The sequence below is a fragment of the Homo sapiens genome, chromosome 2 (genome assembly GCF_000001405.40).
Source record: "Homo sapiens chromosome 2, GRCh38.p14 Primary Assembly".
NCBI classification, from domain to species: Eukaryota; Metazoa; Chordata; class Mammalia; order Primates; family Hominidae; genus Homo; species Homo sapiens.
Window position 1 is genome coordinate 90,157,098 of NC_000002.12, and position 24,869 is coordinate 90,181,966.

Below are 24,869 nucleotides of genomic sequence, written 5' to 3' on the forward strand. Positions count from 1 at the left end.
AAGAAATATTTTTAAGGTAAAATATTTAGATTTTCTTCAGGGCCTATTATCTGTCATGTTGGAATATGGTATCTTAATGCTACAAAGCATCTGTTTTGTCAGTCCAAAGATCTCTGTTGTAATGACAATGTTGGTCAGTTGTGTCTGAACTCCAAAGTATAATGAGGCACATCTAAACCCACCTGCCAGTCATGGCCTAACCTAGTTTTTCAAATTTCTTTGAAGTGCTCTTTACAAAAGAGGAGTCCATTCAGCAGGTTGGTGGCTTACAACTTAATTTTTGGTTTTAACACACAGAAAAACAAAATCAGTTCACAAATTGAATGTAAAACAGATCGGTAAAAAAAAAAAATTAAGTGCCTCCTGAATATTCCTACATGTCAAAGAAAAAGAAATTATCAGAATTCAGATGAGAAATATCCCTCTTACAAAAGATTAACAATTTTTTTTTTAACTATCTTAGTTTGGGTCCACCCTCAATGAGGATCCCTGTTTAGGCAGCAAATTTACACTGGGAGGAAAGGAGGAAAGTGAGGAAGAGAACAGAAGATGAATGGAAAAAGACACATCAACAACCTACCTGACTCAGGATAACCAAAGATCAACCACATGTGGAAACATGGACTAAGTTCCTCTGGGCTATTCCACCTGAGAGATGAGGAAGCTGGGGTATGTATACACCTCATCGTGTCCTCACTGATTGTGCGCTGTCTCTCTTGTTCTATTTCAAGCTGCTATAACAGATTCATTGTCACTATGTAATTCATAAGGAACAGAAATTTATTTTCTTACAGTTCTGGAGAATGGGAAATTAAAGATCAAGACATGGGCAGGTTAAGGTCCGCTTTCTCCACTTTCAAGATGATGCCTGGAGTTAGAAATGCAAAAGTTCTACACAGGTTTTCATCTGCACCCATGGTCAGTGCCCAAACCTCCATGTTGTTCAAGGGTCAACTGCTCATTCAATCTGTAGCTGCATCTCTCTGGAACAGGATCTTGGCAGGTGGGTTGCAAGTAAAGGAATCCAGAAAATAACATCTCAAACTATGCTGCACTGGTATGATGATTATGTAAAACCAAAGACCTTTAGAAAGCACCAAATGCACAAAAAGACTTTTCCTAAATGTCCCTTATCTGCATAATAGCAGATTCTCCAGAAGGAAACCAATTGTCAAAAAAATTCTTCCTGAGAATTTTTACATCAGGGAATATTAACACAAAAGAGGAATCTAAAATACAAGAGACTGAAGTTGATGCTTTATCCAGACAGGCTATGACCTGTTCTTTTGAGGATGCACTTCTGTTCTCATCTATTCTCTCCAGGTTGCCTACACTTCTCAATTCCCTCTTCCTTAGAAAAGAAATACAAACAACTGTATCCCATTGAGATATCTGGGTAATCACCCTGCTATGATATTCTGCTGCACTTCAAATGAATTTTGTTTGCCTTTTCTCTTATTAATCTTTCTTTTGTCCATTCATTTTCAGCAAATATTTAGAGGACAAATGGAGCTTTCTTCCTTTCTCCCAATGTAAGCAAGTTCCCTTAAAATTCAGGCAGCTTAAAAAACAGCAGGAAGGTTTGTGCACAGCCTGCAGCACTGTGATTTGGCTCCCCTAGTCAGGCATCAGTAAAATTTTGTGGAGTCCTAGGTGGCAGCCCACTGATGCTGATGTAGTTGGATCCACTTTCCCTGCTACTAAGTCAGGCTGGGACATTTTTGGGCACATTAGAGATATGAGATATAACGAGTGCAAATCCGTGTCCAGTTTCATCTGGATCCAAGTGATTTCTCCATGTACATAGGCAACTGCTTGATAAGAGATTCAGTGTCTCTTTCCTAAAGCAGTTAACAGGGAGGCTGGTGTCTGGGTCAGGATGATTTCCCCAATCACTGATAAAAAGTAAAAGAGGAAAGTGTCATTGATGGTGCATGGCAGGGACATGCTCCATGCAGTGGTCACCCTCAGTAAGAGAGATGAACTTTGGGAAATAATATTGAATGGCAGAAAAGAAGGTAGACTATGAAGGTGCCCAAAACAAGAATAAGGTGCAGCCCATTTAGTGTCTGAGTACTATAGAGACCTGTCGCTCTTGATAATTGTGGATCTGTGACTGCTGCATGCATCAAGAAAACACGGTATCATCTTTGTGTATCTATAGTACATAGTTTGATCGCATACTGGTAAGAACAATGGCATAACACCATTACCTGATACTTACAAATGTATGTACCATCATGTCAATAAATTTTATTTTTAATTTTTTTTACATAGGAACAATGTTAAACTCACAGAAATGTTGCATGTATATGACAAATACCCCCTTCCCTAACCGGAATCATATAAGAGTCTTTTGAAGACTTGAGAATTGTACCGTCTAACATTTTACTATGTGTTTCCTACAAACAACAATATTCTCCTAAATAATCCCCATACACCAATGAAATACATTAGTCCATCAACTCCTGAGGAATATTTCAAATCGTCAAAAAGAAACCAAAAAATGTTACTCACAACAAAATAGTTCCCAGTAGAAACACATTCTCTGCAGACAAATTTGTGCTACCCTGGTCTTACCTGGGACACCTGGGGACACTGAACTGGTGCTGAGTTACTGAGATGAGCCAGCCCTGCAGCTGTGCCCAGCCTGCCCCATCCTCTGCTCATTTGCATATTCCCAGAACACAACCTCCTGCCTGAAGACTTCTTAATAGGCTGGTCACACTTCTTGCAGGAGTCAGACCCACTCAGGACACAGCATGGACATGATGGTCCCCGCTCAGCTCCTGGGGCTCCTGCTGCTCTGGTTCCCAGGTAAGAAAGGAGAACACTAGGAATTTACTCAGCCCAGTGTGCTGAGTACTGCTTTACTATTCAGGGAACTTCTCTTACAGCATGATTAATTGTGTGGACATTTGTTTTTATGTTTCCAATCTCAGGTTCCAGATGCGACATCCAGATGACCCAGTCTCCATCTTCCGTGTCTGCATCTGTAGGAGACAGAGTCACCATCACTTGTCGGGCGAGTCAGGGTATTAGCAGCTGGTTAGCCTGGTATCAGCAGAAACCAGGGAAAGCCCCTAAGCTCCTGATCTATGCTGCATCCAGTTTGCAAAGTGGGGTCCCATCAAGGTTCAGCGGCAGTGGATCTGGGACAGATTTCACTCTCACCATCAGCAGCCTGCAGCCTGAAGATTTTGCAACTTACTATTGTCAACAGGCTAACAGTTTCCCTTCCACAGTGTTACCAACCCGAACATAAACCCCCAGGGAAGCAGATGTGTGAAGCTGGGCTGCCCCAGCTGCTCCTCCTGATGCCTCCATTGGCTGAGAGTGTTGCTCAGATGCAGCCACACTCTGATGGTGTTGGTAGAGGGGTACGTGAAATCGCCTCTGCACCCTAATTCTTTTCTCTTTCTCAGCCCCAACTGCACAGACATAGCAATGCATCTCCTGATTTGATAAATACAGAGATCATGACACTTGAGGAGTCTAGTTTATGGCTTCAGCTTGAATTCATATAACACAGAAGAAGCCACTATAGATATTCTAAGCAGGAATCGTCTTAATACAGAGAATTAAAGTAAACTACTAAAGTCAAAATAAAATGTAGAGATGAATCTCTAAATTTAAGTTTTATTTGCAAAGAAATATTTGCCAGGTGGGGCATACAGGAAAACTCAGTGGTCTTCAAGATATTGGAAGAACGAAGAGAAAATTAGCATTTTATGAAAAAGGGAAAATGTTACCTGTGGCTCTTTGAGAAAGTTCATTGGCTCTAGGAAGGGTTGGGAGCTGGCAAGCTCAGACTGGTAAGCAGTGGTGGGCAAAATGAATCCTAGAATTATATCAAGTTATCTCAGAAGTTGTGGACAAATTTGATTTCAGGTTACAATAAGCCAAAGCAGTGAAGGTTGCAGAGAATTTTGTTACTGAAATGCCAGGGATTCAGTGAAGACCCTGCAGCTTACCCCACAGAAAGCCAATCACTAAGACAACAAGCATTGCCAAGGAACAGGCTTTAATCAGGTGCTGCAGCCGAGGAGATGCGATACCATTCTCAAATGTATCTCCCTGACCAACTGAAATTAGGAGTTTATATAGCAGGGAAGAAATGTGGGAAAACAGGAATTAGGGAGGGGTAAGGAAGATAATTTGGTCAACAGGAAGCAGGAGGTCAGTGAGGCAATCATAATGGGTGAAGGTTCTGATGTCTCACTGTCCCAATTCAGTGATATGTAAGTTTCAGCTCCTTGATAGTATCTGGGAGGCCTGTTCATTGGTTTACTGAAAAAACAAACAAACAAACAAACAAACAAACAAAAAACTCAGATAAGACAGATGTAACTATCTTGAGTTTTAAGACTGGGGGAGTCAATTTCTATGTTTATACAAAAAAACATAAACATTAGTTCCATGGGATAATAGGGCCTATTACAATTGCATTCTAGAAACAATATTTTGCACCCTGAGTGCCTTTCCCCACTGGTTTCTTTGCTCTGTTGGGTATGACAAGAATGACCAAATTCCTAAGATTAAGTTTCCCACTACAACCTTTCAAAGCCAAGGATATAGTAGTCATGAAAGCTGATATTAGAAGCAGGAATCTCTGATCCTCCCTCAGGCAACAGAATGCATCTTCCTCTGAAGTATGGGCTTTCTAACCATATGGTCCTCAGTCCTGTCTGGAAGCTTAGGGGTGGGGGTGCTGATGCTCTCAGCTTCCTACAGCATCTTTCCAGGTGTTTCTCTAGTCCTCATCTCTGTCCCTGTGTCTGTCTTAGGTACCAATGGAGAATATTGAGTCATCCTTTTCGGACTTCCAAATCTCATGGGAGGACTTCTTATTGGGCAACTCTATAAGAAACAAGAGAGACAAAATGAGAATTTATGTAAGTTAAAATGATTTTCCCCCATGAGGCCATTTAAATAAATTATACTTAAAGCCACATGTTGAAAACACATCCAGCTTTATTTTCTTATTAATGCAAATTTACATTTGCAAATATTTTCAATATTGTAAAGGTTGAAAACATAATTATTTGTCCATGGAATGATCAAACACCTCTATAATTAAATGGAGTAAACATTTTCTTAAAAATTTGTACTCACTGAAATAAAGCAATATATTTGAAATGTGTGAAGCTATGTTAGAAATTATTGGACTTAAACTCAACCTGTGCAGTTTGGTTTGGGATGTTGTTCACTCTTGTGACCTGCCAGAAGAATCTTGAGTCATGGGTAGTCACTGCTGTTCAGCCTTGTCCTCAGACAGTTGATATGTGTAGGCTGAAGACGAGCTCAGTGCCATGCAGAGAAACCACTCACCTGAACCCTTCCTTGATCAGCCAGATTACTGTGAACGTGAGCATCCATGAACATGAAAACAAATGTTTACTATTTTCTGTCACTGAGTTGTGTATTTAGCCAGTTACCAATCATTAATGCATAAAAGCTTCCTGATACAGTATTTACACCTCTACCTATATATACACACGTATTTTTTCTTAAATTAGTGGCATAAATGTAAATATTTAGTAATCAAATTATAAACTTAGAAAATTAATGACAAAATTAAAACTAATATTTCAATAAAAAATTAAAATTTACCATATTTATGGGAAAATGTGCATACATGTATGTAAGATACATACAAGTCAATATATTATTTGATAAAATGTTGGCTATATATATAGTACTCATACTTAAGTGTGTTTATTCTATTATATATGCAATATATGCCTATTTGTAAAATTATTATCTAAATTGAATACATTTAAATAATTTTTGTTACATTCCATAAAAAATTGTATTCTGGACCACACATAGTTCATACTCTTGCTATGGAAAATTTATTTGTAGCCTTTATTTTTAAAACTCTACCAAATGATTGTCCTTGTCCGAAAATATTTTCCAACCCAGTAGAGCTCCAAGGGTAGGACTAGAAGAAATTTTGACTAATGTTGAATATTAATCATTGCATCCTATGAAAGTCTCCATTATGTTCATGCCCACAATGATGATATGCCAAATAGAGTTCTCACAACAATGGATGCTGGATGGAGTCACATCAGTGCCATTGTCAAGGAAGCCCTGGAAATGTAAAAATCAAAACAGTGGGTAAACTGCAAGGCCAACGTCTGATGATCACATTGCAAAGAGAATAACATTTTAATAATATTGGCTGTTGGTTTTGACAGATCATCAGACCTTAAAAGAAATGCAACAGGATGATTACAGACAAAGTCATTGTGGAAGAGCTATGACTAGATGTTTTTAAAATGAGCCATAATCCAAAAAAAAAAAAATGCTTTCCAAGTGGATGCTAATCGAAATGCCATTAATGAGCAGGGGCTTTTAATAATGAGAATGATTCAACACATGGGCTTCAGTCAGTCATCTTTCCCAGCTTTCCCTGGGAGTCTCATGAACCAATGTTATGGAGGTCTCTGTGGGGACTCAATAATTTGAGTTTCCCCCAACCGAGATTTAGAGTGCTACTGGCTCTTCTGAACACCTAATTTGCCAAGAAGAATGACCCCTCCTGAACCCTTCACATTGTATCACACATCAGGGCTCAGACTAACATCTGATGTCAGGTGATTCTAGTGTCACTGGGTGCACCAGACTCAGATTTTGGACACAAAATTTCCTGAAGCAGCCAACAGTTGTGCCTCTTTTGAATGGCAGCTCCTTGCTTGCTGTAGGAAACTGATAGGGGCTGAGTATCTCAGAGCTAGAGCACCAGGCAGGACGCTGCGACCTTAACTAACCATTCTCACTTTGGTACCTACAAACACAATCAATAAAACTGGACAGGCCCAACAGATCCAAATCATTAAATGGAAATGATACAGTCAGAATCAGCCCTAACCAGGATCCCACAGGACCCATGTGCCCCATGAATAAATGGCAAGCTTGCTAGAAGGGAAGAAATGGCCCATAGGGGACAATTTAGCTTCTCCTTTGGCCACATAGAGCCAAAGATTCAGAGACATGCCTGTGTCAGTATGGCATTGGGCCCTGATGATTGTACAAAACACATGCCAGTGGATCCACTGGGTGCAGCCACCATCCAGCCAGGGGATGGCATCTTTTGACTGACACTGAACATGGCCATTCTGCCCAATGGGACAAACTACATGAAATGATAGTAGCCATGCAGGCTGCCCCCAACACTATATTTTGCTCCATTTCCACTAAATCATGGGCCATTGCCAACAGCCCAGCTGTCTGGTCAGGAAAATAGCAACTGAGTGACTGAACTATTAAAGGATCTCATGAGTGGAGAAAAGGACTATGGCAATAGCTTGCTTCCTGGACAGCTAAATATATGTCACTCTATTAGATGCTGGGGCTACCATGGCCACCCTTCAGAGGAATTTATGTCATGTTTTTGGATATTCCATGAGACTTCACTCTGACCAAGAAACAGCCTCACTGACCAATCAACATAACAATGGGCACACTCTCATGGAAACCAATGGACTTTCCATGCAATTACCAACACCCAACACTGGCTGCTGTACCTGGATAAACACCTCAGATATCCTAGAAATACAAGTAGGGGTGATCATAAAGCAGGCTCACTGGCTGCAGACAATAGGACATCAAAAGATCCCCCTTTCACCTCTTAACATCTTAGTCACTGCTTGGGGAGTTTTATCCTCCTACCAGTGGTACTAGCTTTTCATGGCCCAGTGAAATGTACTCTCACTATGGCTTCATAATCTGCATTGAGATTGTGTAAGTCAAGGTGCTTCATCAATCTGAAAACATAAACCTCTGCCTCCAGTTCAGGGGAAGTTGGTGGGCATATGAAGTATGCTAGCTTTGCTAAGGGGGATGGGATAACTGCAAGACCGTTCTGCAATGACCCTGGACTGACTTAGTTCTCTCCACTTTCTTGCTTATTTTAAGAGTTCTCAAGTACAATTGCAGAACGTGCTGGAATTGTAACATCCTGAGATAGACAGGAACCGAGCAGAACAACCTACCTGTCCTCTATACCAGTTTCCCATAGAATAGAATGTCCATTAGCACTTCAGCCCTGTGTGTCTTTTTACCCCAGGATACAAAACCCAGAGTGGCTGCTTTCCTGGGTTCCTGCACTGTGGTGTATGTGGGGTACACATATTCAACTCCATCAGCTCCACATAGCTTTCCTGTGTCTTGGGGGACTGACCCATAATGAGTCCAAGACTTTTGTGTTCCCTTGCTGCTTATCTGTAATAATAAACCCACTTCATGTAACTTGCTGTGGGGGGTGTTCTCTTCCCCCACGCTCAAGTACGTTGGTAACCAGTGCACAGTGAAGTTGCTTCAAACATGTCATTGACATAAAGACAGAACTGCAATGGAGGTTTCTGGAGGTAGGGATAGAGAAAATGGGTGGAGTATTGTTTAAGGGGTATACATATTAATTTTTATAAGATGAAAAGATTTTTACTGATTGTGTCAGTAATAATGGCAGAATATGTGAATATACTTAATGCCACTTCTCTGTACTCTCAAGTATGGTTAAGATAGACAATCTTATATTCTCTGTATTTACTGTAGTTAAATAACTAACGTCTTTATTATAGTATTGTTAGCTCAGAAGATATTGCTTTATTTTCTAATTTTCTGAGCAAATGTTCATAAATAATCACTTTGTGATGACATTGTTCACAAATTGTGTGTGTGTGTGTGTGTGTGTGTGTTGTAGACATGGGGTCTCCCTATGTTGCCCAGGCTTGCATCAAATTCTTGGTCTTACATGATCCTGATCCTTTCTCCTTGGTCACTGAAAGTGCTCAGATTACAGGTGTGAGCCCGAGCACCTGGCCAGAAGAAACAGTTTATAAGACATTTCATAGGGAACTTCTTCAAAACGTATATTTCATTGCAGCCACATCCAAAGCCAATCTCCTAAGCCATGTTTCTGTACACAAGTGCACTTCTCCCTCTGTGATGTCACATCCCCTCAGCATGAAGTAACACAGACACATAGGAGAACAAGGCAAGGAGTCAACCCAACTTTATGAGTGGAAATCACTGCAAAGATCTGGCATTAATAGGGTTTAGGTGTAGCAGCACTTCTCCACTAGCAAAACACTCTGATTTGTCTTCCTGGATTGTTTTCTCAAAGGTTTCCTAATATTTAATGCTAAAGCTGAGATTAGAAGCTTTTTATCCTGAGTCTAATTGAATGCTATTTCACTCAAAATGTATTGCCTTATGGAGTATGATAATAAATATTGAATAATGCCTGTTACTACTACCAACAGTCCCTTTAGATCTCCTCTTATCATCCTAAATATCATGACTTAGGAAAAGTGTTTGAAAGGGGGTTTAGACAATATTGATCCTGTTTTCAATATCCTAATACAAGTCAAACACCCACAAAAGTCAAGAGAATTGTAAGGAAAACATGACTTAATGATGATTAGCCATTCTGGTCACTGTTGAGTGAAGATTAAGAAAAATTCTTAAAAACAAGTAGCTGAAACATTGAGAACGCTCATCAATTCTGGGCTGAGATGTAAAATGGTACAACTACTTTGGAAAACAGTTTGGCGGAGTATTAAACACTTGCTGTAAGACCCAGTAACTGCACTCCTGGGTATTTGCCTAAAAGAAATAAAGAAATATTCATACAAAGCCATGTATAATACCATTCATGGTAGCTTTATCCATAATAGCCCAAAGTGGAAACAACCCACATATCTATCAGCAGGTGGTGGGATACATTGTGAAATTACTACACAGTTAAATAGTACCCAAAAGTGAAGAGTAACACATCATGAGGACACAGGGCGACATGAATGAGCCTAGGAAACAATTATGCTGCATGAAAGTCACCAGCCACGAAAGAACACGTGCTATATTCCATTTATGTAAAATTCTTAAAAAGAAAGTTAAATCTATACTAACAATAAGCTGACCAAGGATGGTCTGTTCTGTGAGGTGGAAAGCAAGTTGATTCCTGAAGAGCAGGACAAAACTTTCTGGAGTTATAGAAATGTGTGTGTATTGATTTTGGAGGCATTTACATGAGTGTACTTGTTCAACAGTACATTTAAAATCAGAGTATTTGATTGGAATCATTTTTTTTCAATAAAATTGGTTAACAGTGAATAGTGAGTAATTGCAAATCCAATTAGGTAATGTTGTCTTCACATCTTTTATTCTTGCAGTGTACTGAAAGCTACATGAGCCAAAAGTTATTTCTGGTAGATAATCTCAGCCTGACACTAAAGAACTGCGTATCTTCTAGCAAGAGCTCACTTTTCTAGGTATTTTTGGATTTTTCCAAGAATTTAAATGTGTTTCATAGGTTAAATCAAAACAGTAGGCTTTTAATACACATTTCTTATTTATATCAACTAAAAGTCTAAGTAATAAAAAGTTATTAAAAATTGGAAAATATTTAAATGCAAGGAAATGTTTTTTAAGTTAGGGAAAGAGATCCAACATACCTTATAGTTCATATACATTTTTCAGAAATTAAAATTACCTATCAAGAGTTCTTATCATAAAAACTGTAACACTTTTTACAACGTGTGTTCACTAAATGTGTAGATACACAGATGGATTCCATTTTTTTCTTATGATTTTTGTGTCTATGTTCATAAGAGATACCAGCCTTTAATATCCTTTTTTTGTTATGTCCTCATTAATTTTTGGACTGGAGGACATTATGACCTCCTATAATAATTCTGAGTATTTTTTTATTCCCTTGAAAGTTTGTGTAATTTTGATAAGTACCATGTCACTAACCACCAAATAAAATTTGGAGTTTTTTCTGGGTAACTTGTTATTACAGATTTCTTGTTACTTTTGAGGTAAGAGGTAGGCAGGACTTCACTCTGGACCAGATGTGAGGCTGGCCAAAACAGGAATAGGATTCTGAAAACACTTCTCCGTAAGACATACCCACCAGTACCATGACAGTTTACCATTGCCATAGCAACATCCAGAAGTCGCAGCGCCTTGCCATGGCAACACCTGGAAATTGCTGCCCTGCCATGGCAACACCCAGAAGTTGGGGCAACACGACCCATTTTCGAGCTATTTCTCGATAACCCACCCCTTAATTATCACATGATTAAAAGTGGGTATAAATGTGACTGTAAAACTGCACCTGGCTGCTACTCTTGGCCCTCTGCCTATGAATTATGCCTGCTCCACAGGCTTAGTCACAGAGCTGTAACACTGCTGCCCCATCAATAAAGCTGTTTTATTCAATCACCGGCTTACTCTAACGTTCTTTCCTGAGCAAAGCCAAGAACTTGCCTTGCATCAGGATTAAGCCAGCCACTCAACTCTAGAGATGGTGAGAGGCAGCGTTTGATGTGGCAGTGAGACAGCAGAAACAGCAGAGAAAGCAAGACAACAAGAGACAGCAAGAGATGGGATTTTGTGAGAAGATGGACATAGCGGTCAGCAATGAGCAGGACAGCTATTGGAGAATTGGGAAGACAGAGATCAGTGAAAGAGGGTGAGACGGTGATCAGTGCTACAGCGATCAAAGCTACAGAGTTGCTAACATTGCAGAGCTGTTAACACTAGCCAAAGGCTGTTTTAAGAGCCATCATCTTTCCTGACAGGCGGTGGAGCCCTGGGGATGGGCAAGTGGTCACAGAGCCACTGCTTCATGCAGGCCAGCCGCTCCGTGCTCCAGTTCCTCCGTAGGAGCCCAACCCACCCAAGCTGGGGAGCCTGGAGAGATCTTCACGCAGGCCCCACGTTAGAGACTGCTTGGCACCATTTTGGCTCCTGCACACCTGTAAGTGTCCCCTCTGCCCACCTGCCCTATATTGGAAGATCCAGGGAATAAGGCCTTTGACTCCATAGTCCATTTGAAGTCCTCCATAGCACACCTGACTACATCCTCCTTGCTCCTTCTCTTAGTCATTTCTCCTCTAATGCCATTTTATTTATCCATCAGCCATTTTATTTTATTTTCTGCCCTGATATATGTGTTTGCTTTGCAGTTTTGGCTTTGGCTCCCTGCTAATTGTGTTTGTGCAATTGTTTAAGGCAGGACACTTGGATGTAAGAATTCTCCTGTTCTGTTGGCCATAAGAAGCCAGAGTCACATTGTTCTGTGGTCCCAATCAGGCCTTTGGGGCTCACTGTTGGCCACCCCACTGAGGCTCCAGGATTTTCTGCACTGGTCAGCCCCTGGATATTCCAGGGTTTCCTGGCATTTGGTGTGGGGACACTCATAGGCTGATACTCGGGTACTCTGGGTTTTCAGCATTTAGTATTTTTGGCCACTCCCTGGATGCTCCAGGGTTTTCAGCATTGACATTCCTCCTAGGATTGTGGATTGGAGGCTTACCTTATGAGAATCTTGGTTTGCCTTTTCTTGTTTTCTGCCCTAAAGTTACCATTTTTCATAATGGCATTTTGTTTTCTTGTTGTCACTTTATTTATGTTTTTTCTTCTACACTTTACTAAATGAAAATACTGCTTTAAGGCCGGGCACAGTGGCTCACACCTGTAATCCCAGCACTTTCGGAGGCTGAGGTGGGCAGATTGTTTGAGGTCAGGAGTTCAAGACCAGCCTGACCAACATGGTGAAACCATGTCTCTACTAAAAATGCAAAAAAAAAAAAAAGGGGGCCATAAGTGGTGGTACACGCCTCTAATCCCAGCTACTTGGGAGGCTGAGTCACAAGAATTGCTTGAACCCAGGAGGTGAAGATTGCACCACTTTTCTCAAGTTAGTAGCCAAAAAGTTACTCATTTAGCCTCTCTTTAGTTTTTTACTCTAATAGGCTGTGTAATGACTTTCTCCTTTCCATTTACAATATTATGTTTTGTGTCCTTTTTTCTTTCCCTCTTCCTATACACCCTTCATCAAGTAGACACAAGTTTCAATTCAATTCTTTCTTGGGGGTAGTATGGCTCATGAGAAATGCAGACTCTTCTGGGTTTAAGGCCATTCGCCATTTTTATATGTAATACTGTGGAATGTATTGTGACATAATCCTCTGCTTCACAAACTGATCACTGTCAAACATCATCTCCCAAGCAATACAGAATTTTTCTGTTCCTCACTGGTATAATTCACATAGGAGTAGAAATCTCAAGTTTAAATTGTGGATTTGCACCTTACCACTTGCTGTATTCAAGAAGATGAATAATAGTAATACATCAGTAGGGCCAGGCACAGTGGCTCATGTTTGTAATCCCAGAACTTTGGGAGACCGAGGCGGGCAGATCACCAGAGGTCAGGAGTTCGAGACCAGCCTGACCAACATGGCAAAACTCCGTCTCTACTAAAAACACAAAATTTAGCTGGGTGTGATGGCACACGCCTGTAATCCCAGCTGCTTGGGAGGCTGAGGGAGGAGAATCGCTTGAACCTGGGAAACGGAGTGAGCCAAGATCATGCAACTGCACTCCAGCCTGGGTGACAGAGCAAGACTCCATCTCAACAACAACAACAAAAAAATCAGTAGCTTTGAATTTTTTTTATATTTATTTATTTATTTATTTATTTATTTATTTATTTATTTATTTTTGAGACAGAGTCTCGCTCTGTCACCCAGGCTGGAGTGCAGTGGCGCGATCTCGCTCATTGCAAGCCCTGCCTCCCGGGTTCATGCCATTCTCCTGCCTCAGCCTCCCAAGTAGCTGGGGCTACAGGTGCCCGCCAGCACGCCCAGCTAATTTTTTGTATTTTCAGTAGAGACGGGGTTTCACCGTGTTAGCCAGGATGGTCTTGATAGCTTTGAATTTTAAACATCTATTTGACAAGAAATTTACAGTTCCTTCTCTCTAAAATAATGTAATGATTCTCTCAGGAGTGAGCCTGGTTTGATGCCTCTCTCCCCAACACGATAGAAGTGTGGCACAAATCTTTGAAAAATTCAGTTTCCCCGTGGCAACAACAACTACCTGGGACTGAAAACTTCTTCTCTCGCTCTAGTCCTTTCTTCTACACCCACTTCCACCTCATCTGTGACTCATACAATACTTGTCAGGAAAGATTCTGGAAAAAGCAAAGAGACTTCCTTAGAGGTGTCAGAGATTCCTGTACCAGCATCTGTCCATCTCTAGAGGGGGTTGTAAGTATGAGGAAGAGCAGAGCTTGTCAATCTTCTACTTGCTTTCACTCCCACTGTATTTCCTAACAACAGCAACCACAGCAACAGCCATAACATCACAGGACAAACCTCTACTACTTCCAAGGCTTTTATTTCAGTAAATCTGCTCTACCTCTATCTCAGGCAGCTAGAAGTTTTGATACTCATACAAATACTACTGCAGCTTTCTGTTCATAATTGGAAAAGTAGACAAGACTCAGTGTAATGCAGGCATTCCTTATGCCAGTCAGCATTCAGTTTTTGGATCATCATTGCACACATATACACACCATGTGCCTAATATATATGTAAAAATCCATGAAGCAAGAGTCATAATAGCTAGCATTTGATACTGTATTGTATTTTCCTCTTATATCATCTTCTCCTTTTCGTCCTTAAAAAAAATCTGTTCAAGTCAGTCTAAATTAATTATTGGATGACAAGTAGATAAAATCTTTTATTTCATAACACATTGACCCAATGAATATGTTTCTTTGCAAGACATAGTCCTCACTTCCAAGATAACAAGCCTGACAAAATTATACTGGAGCAAGTCCACAAGTAATGATGGTAGCTTTTCCTTATTGTCAGTCCTGGGGCAAAAGTAAGACAAAAGATAACAAGGTAGAATAAAGATTATGTAAGAAAGAAGGACAGCAGCAGGACATGGGAAACTTCCATAGGGTAACATTTTGATAATGGATGATGAGAATTAATGCGTTAGACAGAGATGGGCGGGAATGATTGAAGGTCTGAGCATTTTAGTACAGATTAAGACCAAATCATTAGGATTTTAAGAGATGTGTACAGTTGGTGAAGAAAAAGCCCTAGAATTTAATTTGACTGTTGATAAAACATTCTTGGATTAGACTGAAGACTCTTTTCTGTGCTAAGTAAGTATATTTATGATAATGATGATGACTGTAGTGCTAAATATTTAATCAATAAAAACAAAATTAACTGCCGCATACATAATGTCCTGAATACTATTGTAAATGTTTTATCTTATTTTCTTTAAACTGTCTACAGCACTGTAAGGTAGGCACCAGTATTGTCACAGTTACACAGATATGGAAACTGAGACATAGGGAAGTTAAGTTACTTGATCAATTGCAAGCAATCGGCAAGCCATGGAGCATCTATGTCAGGGCTGCCAGGACATGTGACTGTAAACAGAAGTTTTTCACTTTTTAACTCAAAGAGGGTATGTGTCTGGGTTAATGGAAAGCTTCAGGACCCTCAGAAAACATTACTAACAAGCAAATGAAAGGTGTATCTGGAAGATTAAGTTCTAACAGACTCTTCATTTCCATCGATCCAATAATGCACTTAGGGAGATGACTGGGCATATTGAGGATAGGAAGACAGAAATGAAAACACAGCCTTTTATATTGTTCTTAACAGGCTTGTGCCAAACATCATCTGGGTGAATTTAGGTGATTGAGGAGAAGAAAGACATAGGAATGAAATTCTCTGAGCACAAGGGAGGAGTTCTACACTCAGACTGAGCCAACAGACTTTTCTGGCCTGACAACCAGGGCGGCGCAGGATGCTCAGTGCAGAGAGGAAGAAACAGGTGGTCTCTGCAGCTGGAAGCTCAGCTCCCACCCCAGCTGCTTTGCATGTCCCTCCCAGCTGCCCTACCTTCCAGAGCCCATATCAATGCCTGGGTCAGAGCTCTGGGGAGGAACTGCTCAGTTAGGACCCAGACGGAACCATGGAAGCCCCAGCGCAGCTTCTCTTCCTCCTGCTACTCTGGCTCCCAGGTGAGGGGAATATGAGGTGGTTTTGCACATCAGTGAAAACTCCTGCCACCTCTGCTCAGCAAGAAATATAATTAAAATTCAAAATAGATCAACAATTTTGGCTCTACTCAAAGACAGTGGGTTTGATTTTGATTACATGAGTGCATTTCTGTTTTATTTCCAATTTCAGATACCACCGGAGAAATTGTGTTGACACAGTCTCCAGCCACCCTGTCTTTGTCTCCAGGGGAAAGAGCCACCCTCTCCTGCAGGGCCAGTCAGAGTGTTAGCAGCTACTTAGCCTGGTACCAGCAGAAACCTGGCCAGGCTCCCAGGCTCCTCATCTATGATGCATCCAACAGGGCCACTGGCATCCCAGCCAGGTTCAGTGGCAGTGGGCCTGGGACAGACTTCACTCTCACCATCAGCAGCCTAGAGCCTGAAGATTTTGCAGTTTATTACTGTCAGCAGCGTAGCAACTGGCATCCCACAGTGATTCCACATGAAACAAAAACCCCAACAAGACCATCAGTGTTTACTAGATTATTATACCAGCTGCTTCCTTTACAGACAGCTAGTGGGGTGGCCACTCAGTGTTAGCATCTCAGCTCTATTTGGCCATTTTGGAGTTCAAGTTGTCAAGTCCAAAATTACTTATGTTAGTCCATTGCATCATACCATTTCAGTGTGGCTATTATGTTCAACTAAATGCATTTTAGAAGGCATCTCTGTTTATGGCATCACAAAGAGTTCAATAAATCTTCTGTGCAAAAATAAACAACAAACACACATTTAAATATAAAGCTGAAGTATCAAAACTATTTCAGCACTCTGAAAATTGGTGAAGTATAAAATAATTAAGGATGCATATTCTTTGTAGAAAAAAAAAGTACCAGTGCTTTGAGTAAGGACAGAAAATGTCTGTAGCCTTTTGCCTGTGACAGCAGCCTTCTACCCCCAGCTCAATCAGCATGAATTACAGAACTGGAGTTTTACCAATATGAGCGTAGCAAATAAAACTAGCAGCTTGCTGCCAAAGGGGGTGGACTTGAGTAAAGCCAAGGAGTGGAAAAAAATTCTTCAGTGTTTCCAGCTAAACATGCAGAACTCCATAGGAAATGAACAGAAAAATCTCACAGCTTTACAAGTCCAAGACAATGACCTGTTTGAGGCAAGTAGTACATCTGCTGATAGTAAATAGCAGATTCCTGGATAAGATAGGCCCATATTGCTGAAATAATCTCTGCACACATTCCTAGTGACCTAGAAGATATAGATATGAGTGATGAGAACAAGGAGTCTCCGGTGCAAAGTAAAACCAGAAGGAGGTAAGAACTAGCTGCATTTTGTATGCAGTTTGCTTTTTAAACTACACACAGATGGGTTGACAGAAGATAGATTTATAACCTCCAGATATTTGAGCAAAACGTCTCAAATCATTGGTGACCACATCACTATGCAGATACATGTGCAGTTCCTATAAATTCAAACTAAATATTAATATTAAGAATAAAAGGAAGCAGAGATATCAGTGGTCAAACACCACGTGAGATAGATTTTTCAATCTCATGCAATGAACATGCATTTAATACATCTAATCCACTTAACATTATAGCTCAGCCTATCCTATCCTAAATGTGCTGAAAACACTTACATTAGCTTACACTTGGGCAACATTATCTTACACAAAGCTTATCTTCCAATAAAGTGTTGAATACCTCATGTCATTTATTGAATACTATATTGAAAGAGAAAATAGAATAGTTGTATAAATACTAGAATTTCTATTTCTACTTGAATGCATATCACCTTCATACCATCTGAAAGTCAAAAAGTTATAACTCCAAGCATCATAAGTCAGGTACTATCAGTAAGTTCACCCAAGTAACTAAGAAGAAAATTAAAAAATGATCAGAAAAACAAAACAAATTCCAGGCCTGACATGGTGGCTCAAGCCTGTAATCCCAGTACTTTGGAGGCTGATGCAGAAGGATCACTGGATGCCAGGAGTTCGAGACCAGGCTGGGTGGGCAAAATATCTTACAATTTAAAAAAAAAAAATAGCAGAGAGTAATGGCATGCACCTATAGTCCCAGCTACCCAGGAGGATGAAGCTGGAGAACCACTGGACCCCAAGAGGTTGAGGCTGCAGCAAGCTATGATCACACCACCATACTCCAGCCTGGGTGAAAGAGTAAGACCCTATTTCTAAAAAAATAAATTAAAATTAAAAAACCCATAATCTAAAGAGAGGTACTGTATTATCAAAAATGTAAAATTGTCAGTTTAACAGCTCCTGGGAAAAAAATGAGAAGAATGACCAATATTAAAGGAACAAAAATAAAGCAACTACAATAATGACAACAGAAAATAGTCAACGAAAGCTGATTCTAACTTGCCGTAATTATCGGATTTAGTAAAGACTACAAAGATTTTCAAATAATTATTTTTAAAACTATGATCATTGACATAAAAAAGAAAATATTAAGAAGATTCGGCAAGTAGGGCCTCAAGAAAAGACATGGAAAATATAAAAAATGACCAAATTGGAACTCTAGAAATGAAAAGTAAAATAATCCAATTTAAATACGTATTAGCTAGGTATAATAACAATTTGAGATGGCAGAATAATCAGTTAACTTGAAAATAAAGGAATAGAACTTATTGAGTCTAAATAAAATGTTTAAAAAAAGGAGGAAGACGTCAGAGATTTATAGCTCAGAGTGAAGGATACCAACAAAAGTATAATGAGAGTCACAAAGGAGGAGAGACAGAGAAAGTGGCTGAAAAAAAAATCCTTGGAGAAATAATGACAAAAACTTTTCAAAAGTAATAAAAAATATTCTTAGATGAAAAAATTCAATAAAACCCTTTTAGATAATAGAAATTAATAACTGAACACATTATATTAAGATGTTGAAAGACAGAAAATCTTCACTGCATCAAGAATGAAAGGCCATTCGCCATTTTTAAATGTAGTACTGTGGAAAGTATTGTGACATAAGCCTCTGCTTCACAAACTGATCACTGTCAAACATCATCTCCCAACCAATACACAGAAACAACATATTGCTATTGGCTAAGTTTTCATTAGGACCAATAGAGATTAGAAGCAGTGAAATGACATATTTAGATGCTGAAAGGAGAAAAAAGTCTACTAGGAATTCTACATCCAGTGAAAATACCTTCACATCTAAAGAAAAAGCAAAAAAAAAATTTCTTTGATAAAAAAGTACATTCATTCATAACAGCTATGTCTTATAAGATATTTGAGAGAAAATCCTTCAGAATCCCAGGAAATGACATCAGACAGGACCTTGAGTCCACTGGAAGAAATGAAGGCCTCAAACATTGTAAGGAGCAATACCAAGGCTAAAAAGAGAAAAATACACTTAATGCTATTTATGTGAAGTTCAAGACAAGAAAACCTAAGTGATTGTGTTAGATGTCAGAATAACAGTTACTATGGCTGGGTGGGAGGGGCGAAAACTGACAAAGATTGTCCATGAGGGAAGCACAAGAGTATGTGAAATATTCTATCATTCCACCTGGACAATGAATTACACATAAACTTTATTCAGTTGCACATTCAAGATTTGTGCACTTTACCCTGGCTACTTTATCAATTGAAATAAAACTTAAAAAAAACAAACCTAGACTCTTTCCCACTTACCAGTAATCACAGCCAAGAGCCCAGACTAATTTGAAATATTATTATTATTATCAACACTTTTTTACCCTATCTTGACACTTACACTTCTTATTCAGCTACAGTTTCACAGCTCCACCTCTGGCCTATTCTTTTGGAAGACCCCATAGCCATAGGTCAGGTAACAAGTATAGAAGACGCATAAATGACAAGATTGATGAGTGTTTAGCAGAAAAAAACTTGTATGTATCACAGACTGTCCTATGCAGAGTGTACAATACATGTGAGTAGAGTCCCTCTAGCACAGAAAAGAAGTGTGAGCTAGACCTTCAGAATATGGTCCAGTTTTTAGAGTTCATCAGATCATCAGATGAACACAGATCAAGGTGTCCTCTCATCTGGGTATGAGAAAGTGAAATGACTGCAGGTTCCCACCAGATCAGTGGCCCATGGCTTTAGAGACATGTACATGAAACTCACATTTCTTCATATCCACAGTCACTTCCTGGCTTCAGCCATAGGAATGACGGCCTGGCTTTCCAGTTATTTAGGAACTCTGCACACAGGCTGTCAGTTACTAAAATGAAAATTAAAAACAATGACTTTGGTTAAATATGTATCAGTAGTTACATTCTGGAGGGAAAAATGAGCAGAGGGAATATATTTTAATACCAAATGAAAAGTCACAACCTTGTGACTCCTTTCTTTTCCCATATGATTCATTACGCTTGTGCTGAAACTTCAGACTATCAAATGAGCCCCATATGTTCATCCCTAAAGCTTTGTCCTTGTCCAACGTGAACCCACATTTGGGCCATCCACTGGCATCTGAGTACACTTGTGAGATGATCACTGTCCAGACAGGATTGCTGGGGCGACTCAACAGGCAGCTCCATGCTGAGTCTCCCCTTGAACTCCCAGCATCACTGACCCTGAAGGAGTGTCCCCCTGTCCTCCACAGCACCCAGAGCACAGCCTGCCCTGCCATGATTTCACTGCCCAACTCAAAACCTCATCATAGATTCCACCGGCTCAGAGACAAAGTCAGGTCCCAGGCAGAGGCAGGTATGGGGGCCTAAGAGAAACCATTTTTTCATCAATTTTCCTATTAGGAATTCCCAGGAATTTATAAGCTGAATTTCTGTACATAGTTACCATCTTAAAAAATAAAAGCTATTTGTATTGTGAGAAACATGAAACATGGAAAATAATTAAATCTCACAAGAGCACCATCTAGTCAGAGACTCCAAATTCAACTAATCCAATTCTGAGCTCCCTGCCTTATGGTCCATCTCCATGGTGTCTGTGTGCTCCACCCTTATCAAATATATGTTCAAATAATTATTTTAACCTATAATAAAAGACTTAAAAAGGAATTTGTAAAGACAATGATTCAACAAATAGAGGCTCTCAAAAAGAGACAAAACTATGAAAACAGACCTACTGGGAATCCGAAAAATGAAAGGTACAACAACTCAATTGAAAAATGTATTAGATAGACTCAACAGCAATTTAACATGACACGAGAGTCAGTGATCTGAAAAAGAAGTCAATAGAAATGACCTCATATAAAGAAGGGAAAAATTATAAAGAAGAATGAATAAAACCTCAGACATTATAGGTCCCTGTGAACAATACCAACAAATTTGTATTAGGAATCACAAAGGAGAAGACAGGAAGAGGCTAAAAACTGTGTTCTCATCTTTACGCCCATGTGTACCCCATGTTTAGCTCCCGCTTATAAGTGAGAACATGTGGTATTTGTTTTTTTGTTTCTGCATTAGTTCACTTAGGAAAATGACTTCCAGCTGCATCCAAGTTTCTGCAGGACCATGATTTTCTTCTTATTTATGGCTGCATAGGATTCCATGGTGTATCTATACACAGTTTTTTTTTTTATCCAATCCACGGTTGATGGGCACAATAGACACTGGGAACTACTAGAGGGGAGACAAAGGGAGGAAGGGCAGAGGCTGAAAAAATACCTATGGGGTACAGTGCTCACTACCTGTTTAATAAGTTCAGTCATACCCCAAATCCCAGCATCATGCAAAATAACTTTGTAACATATCTGTACATGTATGCTCTGATTTTAAAATAAAAATTGAAAAAGAAAAAAATGGAGAAATAATGAAAAACATTTTTCACAGTGATGAAACACCTTAATCTATACATGAAAGAAACTCAGTGAAACCCTTTTAGTATAAGCACAGTACAATTCATAACTATACACATTATAGTACCAGTGTTGAAAGACAAAGACCCAGAGAATTTGAAATGCATCACTAAAATACCGACTTACTTTATACTAAGAAGCAATATTAAAATCATTGGCTAAATTTTCATCATTACAAATGGAGGTGAGAAGACAGTGGAATGATATTTTTAAATACTGAGGGAGAAAAGTCAGCCACAAATTCTATATCCAGAAAAACAATCATTTAAATATAAAAGCAAGGTAGAAATATTCCTTCATACACAAAGATTAATTCATTAATAGCATATATGCCTTGTAAGAGATTCAAGAGAAAATTCTTCAGAATAACAGAAAATGACAGCAGACAGCAACTCAAATTGACAAGAAGGAATCAAGGCCTCAAAAAATGAAAAAAATTGGAAAGAAGCTACAAAAAATGTTTACTTTACCTGATATAAAGTTTAAGTCCATGAATAAAACAATTATAATATATGTCAGAATATCATTTACATTGATTGTGTTTTGAGCAGCAGTTTTTGACTGGGAAGGTGCATAATGAAAGCAGCGAGAGAATTGGAAACCTTCTGTATTTTGATGTGGATCATGACATGAAATGATCTGGATCTTGACATTCATTTGCACCCTTAAGAGTTGCACCCTTTGCACTGTGTGTTTTACCTTAGATAAAATAAAATAAAATAAAATAAAATAAACAAACCTAGACTCTTTTAAATAAACCTAAACAAAGAAATAAGAATCATCAAATATTTATGAAAGATCAAGCTTATTAAAAAGAAACATAAAACATGCCCGAGAAAGTCCTAAAGAACTAGAAGTCTAGTAGAGGAAACAGCAGGAAAATCTAAATACGTCCCTTCTGCCACTCAGGCAACACAGATTTTACCTCTATTGATTTCCTTAAAAACATAAAATATATTTATGTCGTTTTGCTCACAAGAGACGCCCCCACCTTCTCCTTGGCTCTTTCCACCCCACTGCACCCACCAGGGGATTTGCATACTGTCCCCTAGGGAGGACTTTCCTTGTGAGTCTGAGATAAAAGCTCAGCTCTACCCTTGCCTTGACTGATCAGGACTCCTCAGTTCACCTTCTCACAGTGAGGCTCCCTGCTCAGCTCCTGGGGCTGCTAATGCTCTGGGTCCCTGGTAAGGGCAGAAGGGAAATGAGGGAGGATGATGGGGTGGGAGGGTGAACTCTGTGGATCCCGCCACCTCCCATGTGTGTCCTGTCCTCGTGTTAGATGTGTCTTGTCCTCCAGGATGGGGCATATGATGTCTAGATCTGTGAGAGTGAGGAAGATTCCAGAAGGAGCAAGGACATGTACTTTAGTGAAAGCTGTGACACAGAAAGAGGGGGATGGGATAGGTGACTTCTAGAGGCCGGCTTTGCCTTGCAAATATTGGTTCTTTTTAAACCTGTATGTTTTGGGAGGATTAATCAAAATCACACACACAAAAATAATTGAGCAAAACATAAATAACAGACAGAAAATGATTAAAATGACTCACAATGTTTGCACATAACCTTGCACTTCTCTCTCATTATTTCATGATCCAATGGAGATGCTGCGAAGACCCAACCTCCACTCTCCCTGCCCATCACCCCTGGAGAGCCAGCCTCCATCTCCTGCAGGTCTAGTCACAGCCCCCTTCACAGTAATGGATACATCTATTTCAATTGGTACCTACAGAAGCCAGGCCAGCCTCCTTGGCTCCCAATCTATTTAGTTTCCAATCACGACCCTGGAGTCCCAGACAAGTTCAGTGGCAGTGGGTCGGGGACAGATTTCATGCTAAAATCAGGAGGATGGATGCTGAGGATGTTGGGGTTTATTGCTGCCAGCAAAGTACACATTATCCTCCCACAATGGTAGAGTCTTGAACACAAACCTCCCCACTTGCTGTGGCCTAGCTGCCCAGATGTGCTGTTTCTGTGGAGAGCAGGCACTGTGGATTCTCTTAGATGCCTAAAGAAGAAGATGTTGGAGAACTCAGAGGGCTTGGTGCAGCTGAGGGCTCATGACCATAAATTTCTCGGCTACACCTCAGGCATCACATTTTAAGGTCCCGTCAGCTGCAGCAGCCTTTGCATGACAGAGTCTGCAGTATGGAGGAGGTCCACGTGCCCTCTGAGCAATGAGACACAAGAGAAGAGAAGGCTCAATGAGAGCTCATTCTAATCCTCTCTTCCTTCCCTACGTTCATTCATCAACTAAATTCATTCTGCATAACAGGCACCTAATTGAGACTGATTACTGGCAACACAAAGCTAACACATTCTTTTGATTTGGTTTAGCAGTTACCAGAGTACATGTACATTGATAAGATTTGGTGATATTAAATCAGTTTCCCTCCCCTCCTCCACCTCCCCCCCTCTACTTTTTGTAAGGCAGACCCTTGACCAGAACACCAGCAAGCACTGTATTTTATCCTACTTTTTTCAGGGAGAACCCAAATAAAACTCTTCACAGTCTAGATTTTTTAATTACTAGATATGTTGTGGCAAATGTATGCAAAAATAAAGACCTAGTTGCTAAAGTGTTTGCACAGTCTCACTCACAGCATATTGAAGTACAAAAGTAGCTTTCTGAACTCCAAAGCTGGGTTTCAAAAATAAGGACAAAGTTCGAAAGAATAAAGGAACATATGTATGTTACTTAAACAGAATTTGAATGAATACAAGATAATATATAAGCTAACTTTTTACCCCATGAAAAATTACAATGTGAAGACTTTGAGCAGAGAGCAGCAAGTGAGAGACTGCTGGGTTGTGTTTGAGATATGAACCCAGATGGAAGTTCTCACGTATTTCCTGGGAAGAATCACAGAGTTGAGAAGCACCTGCCTGGCTTTCAAGGCAGTAACAATCTCAACAGAGTCATGTTATCAAATGGAAATGGCACATTCTTGATCAGGCTTAGTCAGGACCCCACAGGATCTGTGGCTCCATGAACAAATGGAGAGGTTGTTGAAGGGACCAAATGACTTGTAGGTGATAATTTGGATTTTCATTTACCCATGTCGAGCCCAAGATTCAGAGATTTCCATACGGCAGGAGTCACTGATGGCTGAGGAAAACACAAACTGACAGGTCCACTAGGTGTGGCCACCATTCAGCCAATGGATGGCCACTTTTTTAACTGAAACTTAGCATGGGATTTCAACCCAGTGGGT

The 24,869-nt window shown here is 39.9% G+C and overlaps 1 pseudogene, 2 gene segments (V, D, J or C) and 1 further gene, besides 6 other annotated features; all 4 read left to right on the forward strand.

Moving 5' to 3' along the window:
- IGK (immunoglobulin kappa locus) overlaps positions 1–24,869 on the forward strand; it is a 1,378,008-nt gene that overhangs the window by 1,299,737 nt on the left and 53,402 nt on the right.
- Positions 2,763–2,817: a sequence feature (IGKV1D-12 leader sequence).
- IGKV1D-12 (immunoglobulin kappa variable 1D-12) lies at positions 2,763–3,238 on the forward strand. The segment is given in 2 exon segments: positions 2,763–2,817; positions 2,943–3,238. Coding segments are annotated over 2 exon segments (351 nt in total), but the record flags the coding sequence as incomplete, so codon positions are not given.
- Positions 2,943–2,953: a sequence feature (IGKV1D-12 leader sequence).
- Positions 15,802–15,850: a sequence feature (IGKV3D-11 leader sequence).
- On the forward strand, positions 15,802–16,315 carry IGKV3D-11 (immunoglobulin kappa variable 3D-11). The segment is given in 2 exon segments: positions 15,802–15,850; positions 16,020–16,315. Coding segments are annotated over 2 exon segments (345 nt in total), but the record flags the coding sequence as incomplete, so codon positions are not given.
- Positions 16,020–16,030: a sequence feature (IGKV3D-11 leader sequence).
- Positions 22,793–22,841: a sequence feature (IGKV2D-10 leader sequence).
- On the forward strand, positions 22,793–23,558 carry IGKV2D-10 (immunoglobulin kappa variable 2D-10 (pseudogene); annotated as a pseudogene). The gene is given in 2 exon segments: positions 22,793–22,841; positions 23,247–23,558. Coding segments are annotated over 2 exon segments (361 nt in total).
- Positions 23,247–23,257: a sequence feature (IGKV2D-10 leader sequence).